Source organism: Homo sapiens, chromosome 22, assembly GCF_000001405.40.
Source record: "Homo sapiens chromosome 22, GRCh38.p14 Primary Assembly".
NCBI lineage: Eukaryota > Metazoa > Chordata > Mammalia > Primates > Hominidae > Homo > Homo sapiens.
The window spans coordinates 41,257,658-41,275,664 of record NC_000022.11 but is presented as its reverse complement, the minus strand read 5'-3'; the positions used below and the strand labels follow the sequence as shown (position 1 = coordinate 41,275,664).

The 18,007-nt window shown below is 52.8% G+C and overlaps 1 protein-coding gene across 12 annotated transcripts in view, besides 3 other annotated features; it reads left to right on the top strand.

Annotated features, from left to right (window-relative positions):
• RANGAP1 (Ran GTPase activating protein 1) overlaps positions 1 to 18,007 on the top strand; it is a 57,591-nt gene that overhangs the window by 26,705 nt on the left and 12,879 nt on the right. For all 12 annotated transcript variants that reach the window (NM_001317930.2, XM_006724289.5, NM_002883.4 and 9 more), the window contains 5 exons: positions 938 to 1,065; positions 7,509 to 7,568; positions 10,822 to 11,001; positions 14,085 to 14,219; positions 17,559 to 17,717. In NM_001317930.2, coding sequence (NP_001304859.1) covers positions 938 to 1,065; positions 7,509 to 7,568; positions 10,822 to 11,001; positions 14,085 to 14,219; positions 17,559 to 17,717 — 662 coding nt within the window. The remainder of the gene's footprint in view (positions 1 to 937; positions 1,066 to 7,508; positions 7,569 to 10,821; positions 11,002 to 14,084; positions 14,220 to 17,558; positions 17,718 to 18,007) is intronic.
• Positions 3,178 to 3,678: an enhancer, noted in NCBI's record as "H3K4me1 hESC enhancer chr22:41667991-41668491 (GRCh37/hg19 assembly coordinates)". NCBI's record gives its function as "activates a minimal SCP1, AML or CMV promoter by ChIP-STARR-seq in naive H9 embryonic stem cells {active_cell/tissue: H9 hESC(naive)}" and the evidence as "EXISTENCE:reporter gene assay evidence [ECO:0000049][PMID:30033119]".
• Positions 10,670 to 11,545: an enhancer, noted in NCBI's record as "H3K27ac-H3K4me1 hESC enhancer chr22:41660124-41660999 (GRCh37/hg19 assembly coordinates)". NCBI's record gives its function as "activates a minimal SCP1, AML or CMV promoter by ChIP-STARR-seq in primed H9 embryonic stem cells {active_cell/tissue: H9 hESC(primed)}" and the evidence as "EXISTENCE:reporter gene assay evidence [ECO:0000049][PMID:30033119]".
• Positions 17,114 to 17,656: an enhancer, noted in NCBI's record as "H3K4me1 hESC enhancer chr22:41654013-41654555 (GRCh37/hg19 assembly coordinates)". NCBI's record gives its function as "activates a minimal SCP1, AML or CMV promoter by ChIP-STARR-seq in naive H9 embryonic stem cells {active_cell/tissue: H9 hESC(naive)}" and the evidence as "EXISTENCE:reporter gene assay evidence [ECO:0000049][PMID:30033119]".

The window sequence follows — 18,007 nt, the reverse complement described above, 5'->3', positions numbered from 1 at the left end:
TGGGATTACAGGCATGTGCCATCACGCCCAGCTAATTTTTGTATTTTTAGTGAAGATGGGGTTTCACTATATTGGTCAGGCTGGTCTTGAACTCCTGACCTTGTGATCCGCCTGCCTTGGCCTCCCAAAATGCTGGGATTACAGGCGTATGCCACCATGCCTGACTTTTTTTTAAGATGGAGTCTTGCTGTGTCTCCCAGGCTGGAGTGCAGTGACATGATCTCGGCTCACTGCACCCTCCTCCTCCCAGGTTCAAGACATTCTCCTGCCTCAGCCTCCCGAGTAGCTGGGATTACAAACACCCACCACCACGCCCAGCTAATTTTTGTATTTTTAGTAAGACAGAGTTTCACCATGTTGCCCAGGCTGGTCTTAAACTCCTGGGCTCAAGCAATCCACCTGCCTTAGCCTCCCAAAGTACTGGGATTACAGGCGTGAGCCACTGCACTGGGTCTTCTGTCTTCTCTTGATGGACATTTAGGTGGTTTGGAATGTTTCATCAAAATAAAATAGTACAGTAGTGGACAAACACCCCACACATGAATCACTTAACAATGAAAGCCTTTGTGCCATCGTGCCTGCTGGCCCTCTGGCTTGGGTGCCGTTTCTCTGCTTGGCCTGGTACACTGCCCATCTTTGGAGGCTCCACACACACCACCTACTTGGCAAAGTCTTCTTTGCTGTGAGCATCCAGTTGCTCTTTTCCCTCGGCTCCCAAGCCTCTCTACATGCCTGGTTTTAACACTCATTACAGAGAAATCATCTGCATAGCTCTGTACTCTGGACCATGAGCCTGTCTGATTCTCTGTAAGCCAAGGCTCATTGCATGGTAGGTGCACCATAGACTGTTGAGTGGCAAGGTGGTTGCCAACCTCTCTCCTATCTTAGCTGTTTGTGATTCCAAAAGCCTAAGGTTCTGCTCTTTGGTCCCTGGCAGCTAAAGATGTGATTAAAGAGATTGAAGACTTTGACAGCTTGGAGGCTCTGCGTCTGGAAGGCAACACAGTGGGCGTGGAAGCAGCCAGGGTCATCGCCAAGGCCTTAGAGAAGAAGTCGGAGTTGAAGGTGAGCAGAGTGGGGCGAGTAGGCCCAGGCTGGTTTGAACAAGCTTCTGTTCACACTTCCACAACCCCTGCCTGTGTCCAGTCTCTTCCAGGCCCCTGCCTGTGTGGCTGTACCCCAAGCAGCTCCTCTTCCTCTGGCCTCCCCAGGGCACACAGCATTGGCTAGGGACCCTCTCCCTGTAGTCAGCAGACCTTGAGAGGGTGTTGGGGTGCAGGAGGATTATTGGCATGACACCTGTGAAAGACAAAGTAGGGAGAGCCTTCTCATAATGCAGAGCTGTCACATGTGAGGTGGGAAGGTTGCAGAAATAACCAGCAGGAGCCTCTGACTGTGAGGCTGCTCTGACAGACCCACCCTCTGGGAGTTTCAGAGCAAAGATTGCCCATTTAAAGGAATCTCATGTTGGGCAGAAGTGGCCAGGCCTCAGCTCAAATGCCGCAGCAATAGGAAGGTGCTGTAGCTGGAGACTGCCAGCTCCCTACACTCCTCGCAGCAGAGGCAAGTTCTCTTTTTTTGTTTTTTGAGACGGAGTCTCACTCTGTCGTCCAGGCTGGAGTTCAGTGGCGCAATCTCAGCTCACTGCAATCTCCGCCTCCTGGGTTCAAGCGATTCTCCTGCCTCAGCCTCCTGAGTAGCTGGGATTACAGGCTCCCACCACCACTCCCGGCTAATTTTTTTTTGTATTTTTAGTAGAGATGGGGTTTCACTGTGTTAGCCAGGATGGTCTCGAATTCCTGACCTTGTGATCTGCCCGCCTCGGCCTCCCAAAGTGCTGGGATTACAGGCATGAGCCACTGCTCCCGGCCTTTTTTTTTTTTTTTTTTTTTTTTTTTGAGATGGAGTCTCACACTGTCACCCGGGCTGGTGTGCAGTGGTGCGATCTTGGCTTGCTGCAACCTCCACCTCCCAGGTTCAAGTGATTCTTCTGCCTCAGCCTGCCAAGTAGCTAGGATTATGTGCACTCACCACCTTGCCCAGCTAATTTTTTGTATTTTTAGTAGAGACGGGGTTTCACTATGTTGGCCAGGCTGGTGTCGAACTCCTGACCTTGTGATTTGTCTGCCTTGGCCTCCCAATGTGCTGGGATTACAGGCGTGAGCCACTGCGTGCGGCTGGCAAGTTCTCCTGAAGGTTAGATCCAAGTGGTGCCCTTTTTGGCCAACGCAAAGGGCAAGTCAGGTTATTCTAGCCCCGTGTTCCCCAAACAGGTTCTCCTAAACACCAGTCTTCTGATACGCTCTGTGAGAAAAGCAAGAGTGTCATGTTCAAAGCGTTGGGAGATGTCACTGGGTATTCCCCTCTCTTTGAAATTCCAAAGTCATGAGGGAGAGAGACCAGAGTTCCAGAATGGCATTGTCTCTTCATATGTGCATGGCTGGGGTTGGGCTGGGCTCTTCTGCATGTCATTGCCTGCTCACAGCAACCAGGGAAGAGACTGGGTTGAGTCTCCATTTATAAGTCAAGGGAACTGAGGCTCAGAGGGGCTCATTAAATAGCCACGATCAGTCGGGCACGATGGCTCACAGCTATAATCCCAGCACTTTGGAAGGCCAAGGCCCAGAAGTTCGAGACCAGCTTGGACAACATGGTGAAACCCCGTCTCTACAAAAAGTACAAAAATTAGCCCGGCATGGTGGTGTGCACCTATGGTCCCAGCTCCTTGGGAGGCTAAGATGAGAGGATCGCTTGAGCCTGGGAGGCAGTGGTTTCAGTGAGCCAAGATTGCACCACTACACTCCAGCCTGAGCGACAGAGCAAGACCCTGTCTCAAAAAAAGAAAAAAAAAAGCCGGGCCTGGTGGGTCACGCCTGTAATCCTAGCACTTTGGGAGGCCAAGGCGGGCAGATCACAAGGTCAAGAGATCAAGACCATCCTGGCCAACATGGTGAAATCCCATCTCAAAATACAAAAATTTGCTGGGTGTGGTGGCGTGTGCCTGTAGTCCCAGCTACTCAGGAGGCTGAGGCAGGAGAATCACTTGAAACCAGGAGGCAGAGGTTGCAGTGAGCCAAGATCACGCCACTGCCCTCCAGCCTAGCAACAGAGCGAGACTCCATCTCAAAAAAAAGAAAAAAAAATAGCAGAGATGTGGCCAAGCCACACATCACACTCCTGAGATCAGTGTTCTCTCTGTGGTGCCAGTTTCTGCAGGAGGAGGAATATGGGACTGGGGGCCATGAGAGGATTCACGCCGGAAGGGCCTGCAAACTAGTTTACAAAGTGGCACTACATATTTGTTTCCTTAGGAAGGTCATGGTCAAGTTAACCACCAAGACAGTGATTGTTTCTGCTCTCCTGCCTGGGGCCTGTACTTTCCCTGAGCATAAGCTGGGATGTTTTCCAACCAAAGAACTCAGAACTCAGCCCTCCCCGAGACCTGTGAAGAACAGGAATGAAGGAGCCATGGGCCTGAAGGCTACAGGACTCAGCAGGAGCTGAGCTTGCTTTCGGCACATGGGATCAAGCCCTAACAGCACCACCTTGTTTGCCGTACGTGGCCTTGCCCTGCGTGCAGCTCTGAGGCTGGGCTCTTATATGAAATAGGAGATAGAGCCCTTCCTTCTTCCTCAGAGGTTGTCCTGGGAGAGCCTGGCCGGTAGGAGTGCTGCATGCACCTTCCCGCCTGCTACAGATGCAGTGGCTCGAGTGAATCACTGCACACCACCTCCTAGGCCCTCCTCTGTGCAGGAAGCAGCCCAGGGCAGGGGCAGGGTGGGATCTGCCCTTGATGGCCCAGTGTTCCGGGCGTAGTGCTGATGCCAGAGGGGTTCTCTCTGCTGCTGCAGCAGTGTGCAAGTGAGGAGTGAGGTCTTGACGGGCGAGAGAAGTGTAGCCCAGAGTCACACAACTAGGAGTAGGCTGAGGTGGAGTCCAGGTGTCAGCCCAAGCTCTTTTTTTTTTTTTTTTGAGACGGAGTCTCGCTCTGTCCCCAGGCTGGAGTGCAGTGGCGTGATCTCAGCTCACTGCAAGCTCCGCCTCCCGGGTTCATGCCATTCTCCTGCCTCAGCCTCCCAAGTGGCTGGGACTACGGGTGCCTGCCACCATGCCGGCTAATTTTTTGTATTTTTAGTAGAGACGGGTTTCACCATGTTAGCCAGGATGGTCTCAATCTCCTGACCTTGTGATCCGCCCGCCTCGGCCTCCCAAAGTGCTGGGATTACAGGCGTGAGCCTCTGCACCCGGCGTTTTTGTTTTTTTTTTTTGTTTTTTTTTAGAGACAGTTTCACGCCATTGCCCAGGCTGTAGTGCAGTGGCATGATCATAGCTTGCTGCAGCCTTGCACTCCCAGGCTCAAGTGATCCTTCCATCTCAGCCCCCCAGGTAGCTGGGACCATGTGTGTGCCACAATGCCCAGCTAATTTTTTTTTTTTTTTTAATGATGGGGTCTTGCTTTGTTGCCCAGTCTGATCTTGATCTCCTAGGCTCAAGCAGTCTTCCCACTTTGGCCTTCCAAAGTGCTGGAATTATCGGCGTGAGCCAATGTGCCCAACCCAAGCAAGCTCTTAACTGCTTTGCTGTTCTCGTGGGAGATCATTAGGACCTAAAACCTCATTTCAGAGATAGGATACCAGAGGCTGGAGAGGGGGAGTGATGGCTGGAGTCAGCTAAATCAGGATTGGAAGCCAGGCGGTGTGCCCTAGAGTCCTATGCTGACTGTTCAGCTCATTAGAGTTAGGTTTGGGGAGCTTTGTTCCGAATGACCTGCCGGTATCTGTTGTGAGGGACTGTGGCGCTCCGGCTCCGGCTGCCTGTTCCTGGCCCTGTGGACCCACGTGCAGGTGGAACTACTAAGCAGATCTGGTGTAGAGCAGACAGCTGAGGCCCCAGGTGTGTTCATGGTCTGCTTTATTGGTGGATATGCGGATTTTTCTGCAAAAACCAGCTTCCTTAGTATGTACGGTGGGAGCAGATCACGTGATCCCAGGAGTTTGAGACAAGCCTGGACAACATAGGGAGATTCCCAACTCTACAAAAGATACAAAAATTAGCTGGGTGTGTTGGTACACACATGTAGTCCCAGCTACTTGGGAGGTTGAGGTGGGAGGATGGCTTGAGCCTGGGAGGTCGAGGCTGCAGTGAGCCGTGTTTGCATGGCTACGCCCCGGCCTGGGCGACAGAGTGAGACCCTGTCTCAAAATAAAAAATAAGGGAGGGCTGGGCATGGTGGCTCTCATGCCTATAATCCCAGCACTTTGGGAGGCTGAGGCAGGTGGATCACCTGAGGTCAGGAGTTCAAGACCAGCCTGGCCAACATGGTGAAACCCCATCTCTACTTAAAAAATATATAAAAATTAGCTGGGCGCGGTGGCGGGTGCCTGTAATCCCATCTACTCTGGAGACTGAGACAGGAGAATCACTTGAACTTGGGAGGTGGAGGTTGCAGGGAGCCCACATCAGGCCATTGCACTCTAGCCTGGGCGATGAGTGAAACTCCGTCTTAAAAAATAAATAAATAGATAAAATAGGCCGGGCACGGTGGCTCACGCCTGTAATCCCAGCACTTTTGGAGGCTGAGGTGGGTGGATCACCTGAGGTCGAGAGTTCAAGACCAGCTTGGCCAATATGGCGAAACCCCATCTCCACTAAAAATACAAAAAATTAGCTGGGCGTGGTAGCGGGCACCTGTAATCCCAGCTACTTGGGAGACTGAGGCAGGAGACTCACTTGAACCTGGGAGGCGGAGATTGCAGTGAGCCGAGATTGCTCCACTGCACTCCAGCCTGGGTGCGACAGGGTGAGACTCTGTCTCAAAAATAAATAAATTAAATAAGGGTAATTGAGGTATCCATCACCTTAAATATTTATCTTTATGCTAGGAACATTCAAATTTTTCTCTTCCAGCTTTTTTTTTTTTTTTTTGAGAGAGTCTTTCTGTGTCGCCCAGGCTGCTGTGTAGTGGCGCAATTTCAGCTCAGCACAACCTCTGCCTCCCGGTTTTCAGCGATTCTCTTGCTGAAATGAGTGGCCTCTAGAGTGGCTGGGACTACAGGCGTGCACCACCATGCCCGGCTAATTTTTATACTTTTAGTAGAGATGGGGTTTTGACATGTTGGCCAGGCTACTCTCAAACTCCTGACCTCAGGTGATCTGCCTGTCTCCGCCTCCCAAGGTGCTGGGATTACAGGTGTGAGCCACCATGCCCGGCATCTTCTAGGTATTTTGAAATATATAATAGATTAATGTAAACAATAGTTACCCTGTTGACCTATTGAACACTAGGTCTTATTTCTTCCAACTTTATACTTGTCTCCATTAATTAACCTTTCTTCAGCCTCCCCTCCCTCTAACCTTCCAGGCCTCTGGTAACTACCAATCTACTATCTTTATGAATTGCCTAATACTTTCTTTGAATCATACCAGGAGTGGTGTCACATGCCTGTAATAGCAGGTACTGTGGAGGCTAAGGTGGGAGGATCACTTGAGGCCAGGAGGTCAAGGTTACAGTGAGCTATGATTCTGCCACTGCACTCCAGCCTAGGCGACAGAGTGAGAACCTATCTCTTAAAAAAAACGAAGAAAACAGCAAACTTTCATGTAATTTCAAAGCACTTCTATGAATGGAAAGCTGACATTCCTTACAATAAAGGAAATAAAATAGTGTTACTGAATTATTATTTGATGCTGTTGCTGTTTAATGGCTCTGAGCCTGAGGCTTGCTCTCCCTTTGTTAAAAAGTCCCCGTCACTATGCTAATTTTTGTATTTTTTGTAGAGAAGGGGTTTTACCATGTTGGCCAGACTGGTCTGGAACTCCTGACCTCAAGTGATCTGCCCGCCTCGGCCTCCCAAAGTGCTGGGATTACAGGCGTGAGCCACTGGCCCTCAACGTAGAATTCTGTGTTGTTTATGTTCATGTTTCTCTGTCATCCATAACCACGTCACACGTCCACCTAGAGGGTTGTACAAGTCAGGGATTTTCCTGACACTTGTGAGCCCCCAATAACTCTTGGAGGCCTCTTGATTTGAGGACTGGCCTCCAGGTCCCACCAACTACAGCCAGAATGGGTCCAGCTTTTTACAAACAAAGCTCAAGTTAAGTCTTGGGGGCCAGGTGCGGTGGCTCATGCCTGTAATCCCAGCACTTTGGGAGACCAAGGTGGGCAGATCACCTGAGGTCGGGAGTTCAAGTCCAGCCTGACCAAAATGGAGAAACCCTGTCTCTACTAAAAATACAAAATTTGCCAGGCATAGTGGTGGACGTCTGTAATCCCAGCTACTCCGGAGGCTTAGGCAGGAGAATTGCTTGAACCCGGGAGGTGGAGATTGTGATCAGCTGAGATCGCGCCACTGCACTCCAGCCTGGGCAACAAGAGCGAAACTCCGTCTCAAAAAAAAGAAAAAAGTCTTGTGATGCTCTGGTAGTTCAAATCCACCAGGATGAGGCTTCACTATGGGCCTCCAGGGGTCTCTCTCCCGCTAACTCTTCTCTTCTTTCCGTTGCAGCGCTGCCACTGGAGTGACATGTTCACGGGAAGGCTGCGGACCGAGATCCCACCAGCCCTGGTAAGCGAACTAGCCGCTCTTCCCCTCCACGCGCAAGGCCCTCTTTGGCAATTCCCAGGGCTTTTCTCATGCTTTATTCTTTCTGGAGCCTAAGATTAGCCCTGTGGGTGACTGAGCTGCTGGAATGGAAGCCCGGCAAGTCCAGCACGTGCCCTGTGTCCTGACAGGAGGGGAGGGTGGGAGCACAGAGACTGACAGGGGAGGAACCCTAAGGGTGGGGACTTCAGGGAGGTGGGAGAGCTGAGACCATGCACTCCTGGGTCCTCCTGAGCTGCTTGGCTTGGTTGACTGTGGATTTCACCCCAATATGATTGCCCCGCCTTTCCTGGCAACCCCTTCCTGCACCTCGCAGTCCTGCTCCTTCATGACTTCTCTGCACACAGCCCATGTAGCCGTCCCCATCTTTCTCTGGCTCCTCCCTTTCTCCGTACCACTGTCTGCTTTGGTTTGTGCCCGTCATGGGTGGCTTCCCATTTCTTCATTCCCAGGGCTCAGACTGGCTTGGGTCGAGTTCCCAGTCTCTGAGTGCATATGTGTGGAAGGAAATAGAAAGAGGCAACACAGAACACAGAAAGGCATGCCTGGCCAAGGGAAGAGGGCAGGGCTGGTGGTCGGCAGCCTCTCAGTGTGTCCTCCTGGCACGGGGCTGCACACGGCAGGCCCTGAGGGTGCAGGTTTCTGGTCAGTGATGAGTGTGCACATTGATGTTACTGAGCCCCTCACCCTGGTTGCGCCCAACCTCCTTTTATTTTTTTTTAAAGACAGGGTCTTGCTCTGTTGCCCAGGCTGGTCTTGAACTCCTGGGCTCAAACAGTCCTCCCGCATCAGCCTCCCAAGTAGCTGGGATTACAGGTGCGTGCCACTGCACCTGGCTTGTGAGGCTAGGATTTGGAATGTAGGTTAAGAAAATTCATTTCTGGCCAGGCGTGGTGGCTCACGCCTATAATCCCAGCACTTTGGGAGGCCGAGGCGGGCAGATCGCTTGAGGTCAGGAGTTCAAGTCCAGCCTGGCCAACATGGCAAAACCCCGTCTTACTAAAAATACAAAAATTAGCTGGCATGGTGGCACCTGCCTGTAGTCCCAGCTACTTGGGAGGCTGAGGCAGGAGAATTGCGTGAACCCAGGAGGTGGAGGTTGCAGTGAGCCAAGATCATGCCACTGCACTCCAACCTGGGTGACAAAGCAAGACTCCGTCTCAAAAAAAAAAGGAAATTCATTTCAGTGATTGCATGTTAAAGAATTTCAAGTTAGGCCAGGCGCAGTGGCTCACGCCTGTAATCCCAGCATTTTGGGAGGCCAAGGTGGGGGGCGGTGCACGTGGATCACCTGAGGTCAGGAGTTGGAGACCAGCCTGGCCAACATGCTGAAACCCTGTGTCTACAAAAGTACAAAAATTAGCTGGGCGTGATGGCAGGGGCCTTGTAATCCCAGCTACTCAGGATGCTGAGGCGGAAGAATCACTTGAACCTGGGAGGTGAAGGTTGCAGTGAGCTGAGATTGTGCCATTGCATTGCAACCTTGGGTGAGAGAAAGCGAGACTCCATCTCAAAAAAAAAGAATTTCAAGTCAGAAAAGATGGTGAAGAGAACTCTCTTTTGCATACTCACTGTGGAATTCTCACTGTGCAAGTTTTGCCTAAATTTTAGCATTTCATTTCCCTGAGCTTTCAGAAGGTATTCTTTTGGTTTTTGTTTTCTTTTACTTGACTCTGTAGGAATGGGGAAGAGAAAGTATTCTTATCTCTATGTTCCCAATCGTGAGAATAAATCTTAAGAGGGGGATAAGAGAATTTGGGGTTAGAAGATGGCATGTGGTGGAGTAGGCACAGGGTGTTTGAGCAGCTAGAGGTCAGTTGAGGCCAGATCGCCAGGGGCTAGGCTTTTTTTTTTTTTTTGAGGCGGAGTCTCACTCTGTTTCCCAGGCTGGAGTGCAGTGGCACGATCTCGGCTCACTGCAAGCTCCGCCTCCCGGGTTCATGCCATTCTCCTGCCTCAGCCTCCCAAGTAGCTGGGACTACAGGCGCCCGCCACCATGCCCGGCTAATTTTTTGTATTTTTAGTAGAGATGGGGTTTCACTGTGTTAGCCAGGATGGTCTCGATCTCCCGACCTCGTGATCCGCCCACCTTGGCCTCCCAAAGTGCTGGGATTACAGGCGTGAGCCACCGCACCCAGCCACCAGGGGCTAGGCTTTCTGTGGGTAGGGCAACGAGAGGACACATTGCCTTTTGCTTACTGAGTGGTGGGAGGATGGTAGAAACTGCCTCATCTGCCATATCTGTGGCCAGGGTGAGGGCAGAAAGTCTCCCTTCCACATTCCTGCCCCCATGGACCACCTGCTCAGCCCCATTTCTGACCCAGTCTCTGGCAGAGCCTCCTCTCTGACCATTTCTCCTGGTGGGGTGAGGGAATGTAGCTCTCCCCAGCCCAGGAGGTTTCCAGGAGAGCTTCAAATCACCCTGTCAAAGCTGATCCTGGCCGTGGCTTAGAGATGGCCACCTCCATCTGCCAGTCACCACCAGAAACCCTGGAGGCATTTGTGGTTCCTCCCTCCCTCCTCCTGCACGAACAGGGAACCAACAGCTTCTGCATGTCCCCTGCTCCATGAACAGGCAGCTCCTCTCCCACACTTGTCACACCGGCTGGCAGGTCCCCTCTGTTGCCAGTGTCGCTGCCTCACACTCCTGGGTGGGCACTCCAGCCCCCCTTTCTGTGCATCTGCTCACCTCAGGTCTGGGGATATTAATTCCATATCCCTCAGCCACCTCAAAGCCCACTGCTCTCAGGCTGAGGCTCACAGTCCTTGGCCTGGCATTCAAGGCTCTTGCCTGATCTGACCCCTCACTTCCCTTCCACCCAAAGCCCATGCCACGGCTTCTTCTGGAGCCTACCCACAGCTTTCCTCCAGGCTCACAGCCTGCTGCTTCATGCTTATGTCTCTCTGCTCCTGTTTTTTCAGCTGCCTGGAGTCTTTTCATGTTGACTAGCTGATTCTCATCCAGACTAAGTCCAAATGCCACCTCTTACAAGGAGCCTTCCCGGGCCACTCCAGGCATACGCATCCCCCACTCTCCAGCTGTTAGGAGCCCTTTGCAGGGTTTCCAGTCTTAAGAATACTGAAATGGTTTGTGTCTGTGTTGGTTCTGCACCAGCCGGGGTGTCCTTGGAAGGCAGAGCTGGGCCTGGCACAGAAGCAGCACCCAGCACAGAAGCTGGGTGTCTATGAAACTGACACGAGCTTCCTCTGTGCCCAGATCTCACTAGGGGAAGGACTCATCACAGCTGGGGCTCAGCTGGTGGAGCTGGACTTAAGCGACAACGCATTCGGGCCCGACGGTGTGCAAGGCTTCGAGGCCCTGCTCAAGAGCTCAGCCTGCTTCACCCTGCAGGAACTCAAGCTCAACAACTGTGGCATGGGCATTGGCGGCGGCAAGGTGGGTGTGGCAGCCCCCTCCCCGCAGAGTCCCCTGGTCCATCCACATCCGTCTGACATATGTGCCCTGGCCCTTGGCCACCACCATCTGGGATGGTCAGCCGTTGTTTTCAAAAGAGAAAGGCCTCAAAGGCAACAGCCTGTGGCCGGAGGGTAGAGGCGTCCATGAGGGTGGGGTTGCCAAGCAACCATCCCCAGTTCTTGGGTTGGCTTGGCAACGCAGAGGGAGTGCCACTGCATACCTGCTCCAGCCTGCTGGCTCTGCAAAACTCAGGGCTTGGGGCATCCCTATACTCACTGTACCCGCAGAGCAGCTGGTAGAGCCTGGCACATAGGCAGAGGGAGTCTGAAAAGAGGAGCATATGCTCAGGGGGGGCACCGTCACAGCTCACCTTTATTCCTAGACAGGGCCTTGCCCAGGGAGGTGTCCTCAGGCAAGGTCAGTGTAGAGCTTCACGTTGGGCTGGTCAGTGTAGAGTGGAGCTTCTTTGCTTCCCAGAACCTGCATCAAGGGCGGCCTGCCGTATTATTCTCTTCCAACTCCATCCCAGTGCCTTTAGACCCAGGGTTGGAGGACACTGAGTGCCAGGCTGCAACCCCTACACACACTTTCTAACCAAAGGGAGAAAAGGGCTGGGGACACAGAAGTAACAGCAGTTGGGGATATCTTATTTGAATATGCAATACCTTAACTTTTCCCACCCACACTGAAAGGTGGCTGATGCCATCCCAGTTTTTCCACATGACTCAGCATAGGCTTAGAGAGATGGGGTGGAGTGGATCACATAGCTAGTGCTGTGAGGCCCATGGAGCCCCAGGCTGAGGAGCTGGAGTGGCCTCCCCTGCAGAGGGTGCCTGTGTCCCTCGGCCTGACGTGAGGGTGAGCAGGGGCAGGCTCTGTGCCTGCCTTAGCCAGCCCTCCCCCAAGTCCACTTGGGCAATAAGCTATCCCTGTGTTAAGATGTAAAAATGGGCCGGGCACGGTGGTGCAGTGGCTCATGCCTGTAATCCCAGCACTTTGGGAGGCCGAGTCGGGCAGATCACCTGAGGTCAGGCGTTCGAGACCAGCCTGGCCAACATGGTGAAACCCCATCTCTACTAAAAATACAAAAATTAGCTGGGTGTGGTGGCAGGTGCCTGTAGTCCCAGCTATTCGGGAGGCTGAGGCAGGAGAATTGCTCGAACCCGGGAGGTGGAGGTTGCAGTGAGCCGAGATGGCGCCACTGCACTCCAGCCTGGGCAACAAGAGCAAAACTCCGTCTCAAAAAAACAAACAAACAAACAAACAAACAGAAACATATAAAAACGTTTGCGTCAGCACAGAAAGCAGGCGTGGCCCAACCTAGAGTGAGTGGCATACGCTGGGAGAGCCAGAGACTCTATTCTAGCAAAATGCTTCGGTTTTCCTTCCATTACTTCCCTTCTCCTGCCCAGCAGTGCCTGGAAACTGAGGCTCAGGGAGCTTTCCTACTGGCCAGGAGTTGTCTGGCCTGTCCTATACTTGTAATGGGGTGAGTTGGGGAATGAGTTTTGGACCCAGGACCAGAGGGCCTCCTGGGCAGACAGGCCTACCCTGGAGTTTGATTGATGGTTCTCTGTGCCTCCCTGACCACTGATTTGATTAGGTCTCTGGGTCTCGGCCTTGCTGACCTATGCCTCTTGGGAGCTCAGACGCCATGGTCTGGGTGTCTAACCAAGGCCTGCAGGTCCTTTGGAATCTTTTTCTTCTGGGCAGTGTGTTTAGTGTGGTTTCTGTGCCATGCACCATGAGAATAGAAGGGCCCAGAGGAGTTGGTGGGGCAAGAGGCATGGCCCTGTGCTTGAGAACTCTCCATACCCAAGTTGGACTCCTGCAGGAGCTAAGGCCATCACCACGTGGCCTCCAGGGAATCTGGGAGAATGGGGGTGACCTAGCAGTCGGCTGCTGCTGCTGAGTAGCTTCCTCAGAGGCTGGTCTTTGGCAGAAGTTTGATGTCTCTACCCTGAGTGTGTGCGTGATCGTGTGTGCGTGATCCACCATCACCACCGTGGAGTCAGGCAGGTGCTGGCTCTTCTGTTCCTCAAGGATGGCTGTGTGCAGTCTCATGCCAGGAGTTAGGCCAACCCACCCGCCATGTGCGGCTTTGCTAAATACTTACCGGGTGACCTTGGCCAATTCACTCATCTCTCAGAGCCTCAGCTTCCTCATCTGTAAAGTACGGCCAATCCTGCCTGCCTCCCAGGCTGGTGTTGAGGTTGAAACAAGAAAATATGCCAAGGATGCCCAGGCCCTAGCAGGTGCTCTGCAAACATCAGGTGTTCTGCAAATATCACTTCTCTCGGTGCACTCGCTCGTGATTCTTTTATGTCGCATTTACCATGGGCTCTGATTCCCATCGGTCAGTCTCCGTTTTTCAGTGCTTTTCCTAATGGTGTAACCAGGGTAGAAGCTACTTCCTGGCACCACACCAGGGACAGGGCAAGCTGGGTGTTAGGTTTTTACCACCAGCAGGCAAGCTCCTGCTGTGCCTGGCCAGCTTTTAGGCACAGGCAGGTGTCAGACAGGTTCGTCTGGACCGTGGACTTGGCAGCTGGCTCCCTTGGACATTGTGGAACGTGGAAGAGAAGCTGGAAGATTTGGGCTTTGGTCCAGAGTCCACCACTTGTTTATTGACCATAAGAAAGTTTCCGTTCCTCTTACCCTGAGTTTCTTCAGCTGGAAAATGGGAGCCATGATTTTCCCACCTAGCAGAGGGCCTTAGACAGTGAAGTGAGCTGACTAGGAAGTCCTTCCCCTGGACCTGGCTAAAAGTTCATCCACTCCATGTGGTCTCTCCCTTTCCTGAGTAGGGCTTGGTCTCCCCGTCTCGAAAGTGAAGCTAAACCTCTCAGGCTGGTGTGACACAGCATTAGAGATAAAAACCTTGTGTAACTGAAGTGCTGGACATATTTAAGGTGTGACTGTTGAGCTGTTAGCAGTCCTGCGTCCCCTGACCTGCACCGATGGGTGGCGTGGGATGTTGAAGAGCAGTTCAGCAGCAGTGGCCACCCCGCTGGGAGAAGGGGCTCCTGCCCATGACCAGGGCCCCTTGCCTTTCCCCACAGATCCTGGCTGCAGCTCTGACCGAATGTCACCGGAAATCCAGTGCCCAAGGCAAGCCTCTGGCCCTGAAGGTCTTTGTGGCTGGCAGAAACCGTCTGGAGAATGATGGCGCCACTGCCTTGGCAGAAGCTTTTAGGGTGAGTGGTTTCTGTCCATCCTGCCCCTGCAGCCTTGAGGTGCACTCGGCATAGTAGGCTGACAGTTCTGGATGCTAATCCCAGGGCTGGCACTCAACCAAGAGACCTGGGGCGTCACGTGCCCTCTCCAAGCCTGTTAACCCATCCGAAAATGAGCCAGAATTCCTGTCGTGCATTTCTGGAAAGGTGTGTGACTTTCCGGAAAGGTGTGTGACTGGCTCCCACTGGTGAGCCAGCCCCTATGGGGCTTCAGGCCAGGCAGGCCACTCTGACCAAGGAGTGTCATCTGCCAGGCTCAGAAGTGGTGAAGTGAGATGGTGCGAGTGCTGACAGTAGCCTGGCCCAGCCACTGGTGTGGGGCACAGAGAAGGAACATACCAGACCTCCAAGACAGGGAGATAGGCAGGGGCAGCCGCAGGGCTCAGGTGCCAAATGACGTGCTCTCAGGTGACCTTATCCCCACTCCTCTTCCACTCTCCTCTCCCCATCCCCGCAGGACATTGCTGAGTCCCCGATCGTGAGTGCCAGCAGAAGGCTACACTTGCCCCTAACAGGACTGAAAACTTTGGGGTCTGTCTCCCTCCTCTCTTTCCTGTTTTTTTTGAGGCAGAGTCTCATTCTGTCACCCATGCTGGAGTGCAGTGCGTGATCTTGGCTCACTGCAGTCTCCGCCTCCCAGGTTCAAGCAGTTCTGCCTCAGCCTCCCGAGTAGCTGGAATTACGGGCACCCGCCACCACACCCGGCTAATTTTTGTATTTTTATTAGAGACGGGGTTTTACCATGTTGGCCAGGTGGTCTCGAACTCCTGACCTCAAGTGATCTGCCCGCCTGGGCCTCCCAAAGTGCTGGGATTACAGGCGTGAGCCACCACGTCCGGCCCCTCTTCTCTTAATTTAAATGTTTTCTTCAGCAAACAGTATCCTAGGAGCATTGCTCATACGGGCCGGAATGTCCTGGCTGCCCATCGAGGCTGTCTGTAGATACCCTTTGCCTGCTTCAGTGCCAAGTGAACATCGCAGAGATCTGCCTTGTGTCTCCCTGCACCCCTGGCTGCAGGGGAGCTCCTGCTGCCTCCTCTGGAGCTGGTGGGGGCCTCACTGCCATCCTTGGATCCCTCCCTGCCGTCAGCCTGCTGTCCTCAGTGCACTGGGAGGAGGGGGTGCGCTGTGGTTGTGTTGAGCCTTCATAGGTGTCCTCTGGTGGGCTTAGAATGGGGGTTCTTAATCCCCCCCAGTATGTGGATAGAATTCAGGGGTCTGTGAACATGGATGAGGAAAAAATAACATTATTATTTATTACTAATGTAGCTAAAATATGTAGTGTGACCTTTGATTATAAATGTAGACAATAAACCTCACAGCATTAGAAAGGCCTGTGACTACCCACATAACAAACAAGCACATGTAGTCCCTGAACCCAAAAAAAAAAAAAATTTTATTGAGGCAGGGTCTCGCTCTGTTGCCCAGGCTGGAGTACAACGGTGCAATCTCAGCCCACTGCAGTTGAAGCTTCCCAGGCTCAAGTGATCCTCCCACCTCAGCCTCCCGATTAGCTGGGACTACAGGTGTGCACCACCATGCCCACCCAGTTAATTTTTGTATTTTAGTAGAGATGGGGTTTCACCATGTTAGCCAGGCTGGTCTCAAACTCCTGACCTCAGGTAATCCACTCGCCTTGGCCTCCTAAAGTGCTGGGATTATAGGCATAAGCCACTGCGCCCAGCTTAAAATTTTTAAAAAAATAAAAAGAAAATCTTGTGACTTTATCCCCAGTGGAAATCACAGGTATTTCATATGAAGTTATAGTTACTGCTGATATATAGAAATATTTCTCACTACATCAAAATTACAGTAATAGTGGACCCACCCCTAGATCTTGTTATTTGGTGCATTAACAAGAAGTTTGTATATCACTACAGCATGCGTTTGGAGTTTTTTCCTAAATGTTTTGATAACTGTTCCAACTGAGTTGATTTCCTTTGTAATTCTGTGTAATTTATCTTAAAATTTTAAAAAAACATTTTTTGAGGAGGGGACCCAGGGGCTTCACCAGACTGCCTGAAGGGTTCATGGCACAGAAAATACTAAGAAGGCCTGACCTGGAGTGTGCCCAGGTTGGCCTTCCTGTATTTATTTGTGGACCACCCGCTCCCCCCATTGCCCTGTGCTGCACTGAGCACCTGAAGACAGCAGAAGATTCCTTGGCACAGTTAAGCCAGGCCAACCCTCAGTCCTGGGTCACAGTGGAGACTGGGACATGGCCCTCTCCTCCAAAGCTCAGGGGCCGATGGGATGCAGACGGAATATAGGCTTTGAATGTAGGCAGGATGAGGACCACCGTGATAGAGGAGGGACCAGGTGCTCCGGGAGCACAGAGGAACGCACACTGGATCGTGGCTGGGGGAATCCAGGAAGCCTTCCTGGGAGAGGAGGTGACCAAAACAAGAGCCCTAGAACTCATATGAGTTAGCCTGTCAAGAAAATGCTGAATGGCTGGGTGTGGTATCTCACGTCTGTAATCCCAGCACTTTGAGAGGCCGAGGAAGCTGGATCGCCTGAGGTCAGGAGTTCAAGACCAGCCTGGCCAACATGGTGAAACCTCCATCTCTACTAAAAATACAAAATTAGTCGGGTGTGGTGGCGCACGCCTGTAATCTCAGCTACTCAGGAGGCTGAGGCAGGAGAATCACTTGAACCTGGGAGGCAGAGGTTGCGATGAGCCAAGATCATGCCATCACACTCCAGCCTGGGCGACGGAACGAGACTCCGTCTCAAAAAAGGAAAAAAAAAGAAAAAAGAAAAAGAAAATAAGGAGGCAGAGAGAATGGGTATCAAAAGGCCAGGCTGTGATAGGGCTGCATGGGCCAGGGAACACCCTCCTCATCCCTAGAGAAGGACGCCATGTCGAAGGGGTTATGTTGTGTAGGTGGGTGGGCTAGGAGGGCCCCTAAGAAAGAAAGGTCACATGGAGCTATGTCATCCAGAGAAGGGGCATGAGTGCCTGCCCACCACAGCCAGGGTCCCCACTGTGCTGAGGACACCAGACTGAGAACAAGAAATCGACCTGCTGGATCTAGAGCTCTGTGACCCTGGGCAAGTCACTTCGCCTCTTTGATCCCTAGTCTTTTCTCTGGTGGGGATCCTATCCCAGGCAGTAGGCCTCCCTCAGGAGGTTGTGGAAAGAGTTAGATGCAGCCATGCCCCAAAATCCCACAGACAGGCCCCTGCCCTGTGCTGGCGGCAGCCCATTCCTGTGCCTGCTGTGTGGAATTGCTCTCCTGCCTGCTGGATGTCACCTGGCACTCGGGGCCCCCTCCACTCTCTGCCTCCTCTTCACAGGTCATCGGGACCCTGGAGGAGGTCCACATGCCACAGAATGGGATCAACCACCCTGGCATCACTGCCCTGGCCCAGGCTTTCGCTGTCAACCCCCTGCTGCGGGTCATCAACCTGAATGACAACACCTTCACTGAGAAGGGCGCCGTGGCCATGGCCGAGGTGAGGCGAGTGTGGCAGAGCCAGTTGGGCCCCGCCAGATAGAGGCTGGCTGCTGTCTTTCCAGGGAAGCTGGGGCTCCGTTTAGCAGGGACTCCTCTACCCCCTGCCTGCCCCCTGGGTGTGTGCCCCATGGCTCCAGCTCTTTGAACATGTCCTGAACAGGGTTGCAGGTCCCAAGGTAACCCACGCCCTCCTCGGGCAGCTCTGATTCTTCATGCCACCTTCTCCTGAGCCGCCTCTGCAGCCCCCAGCGGCTGCCGCTGGTTTGTTCTCAGGCTGCACAGGAGCAG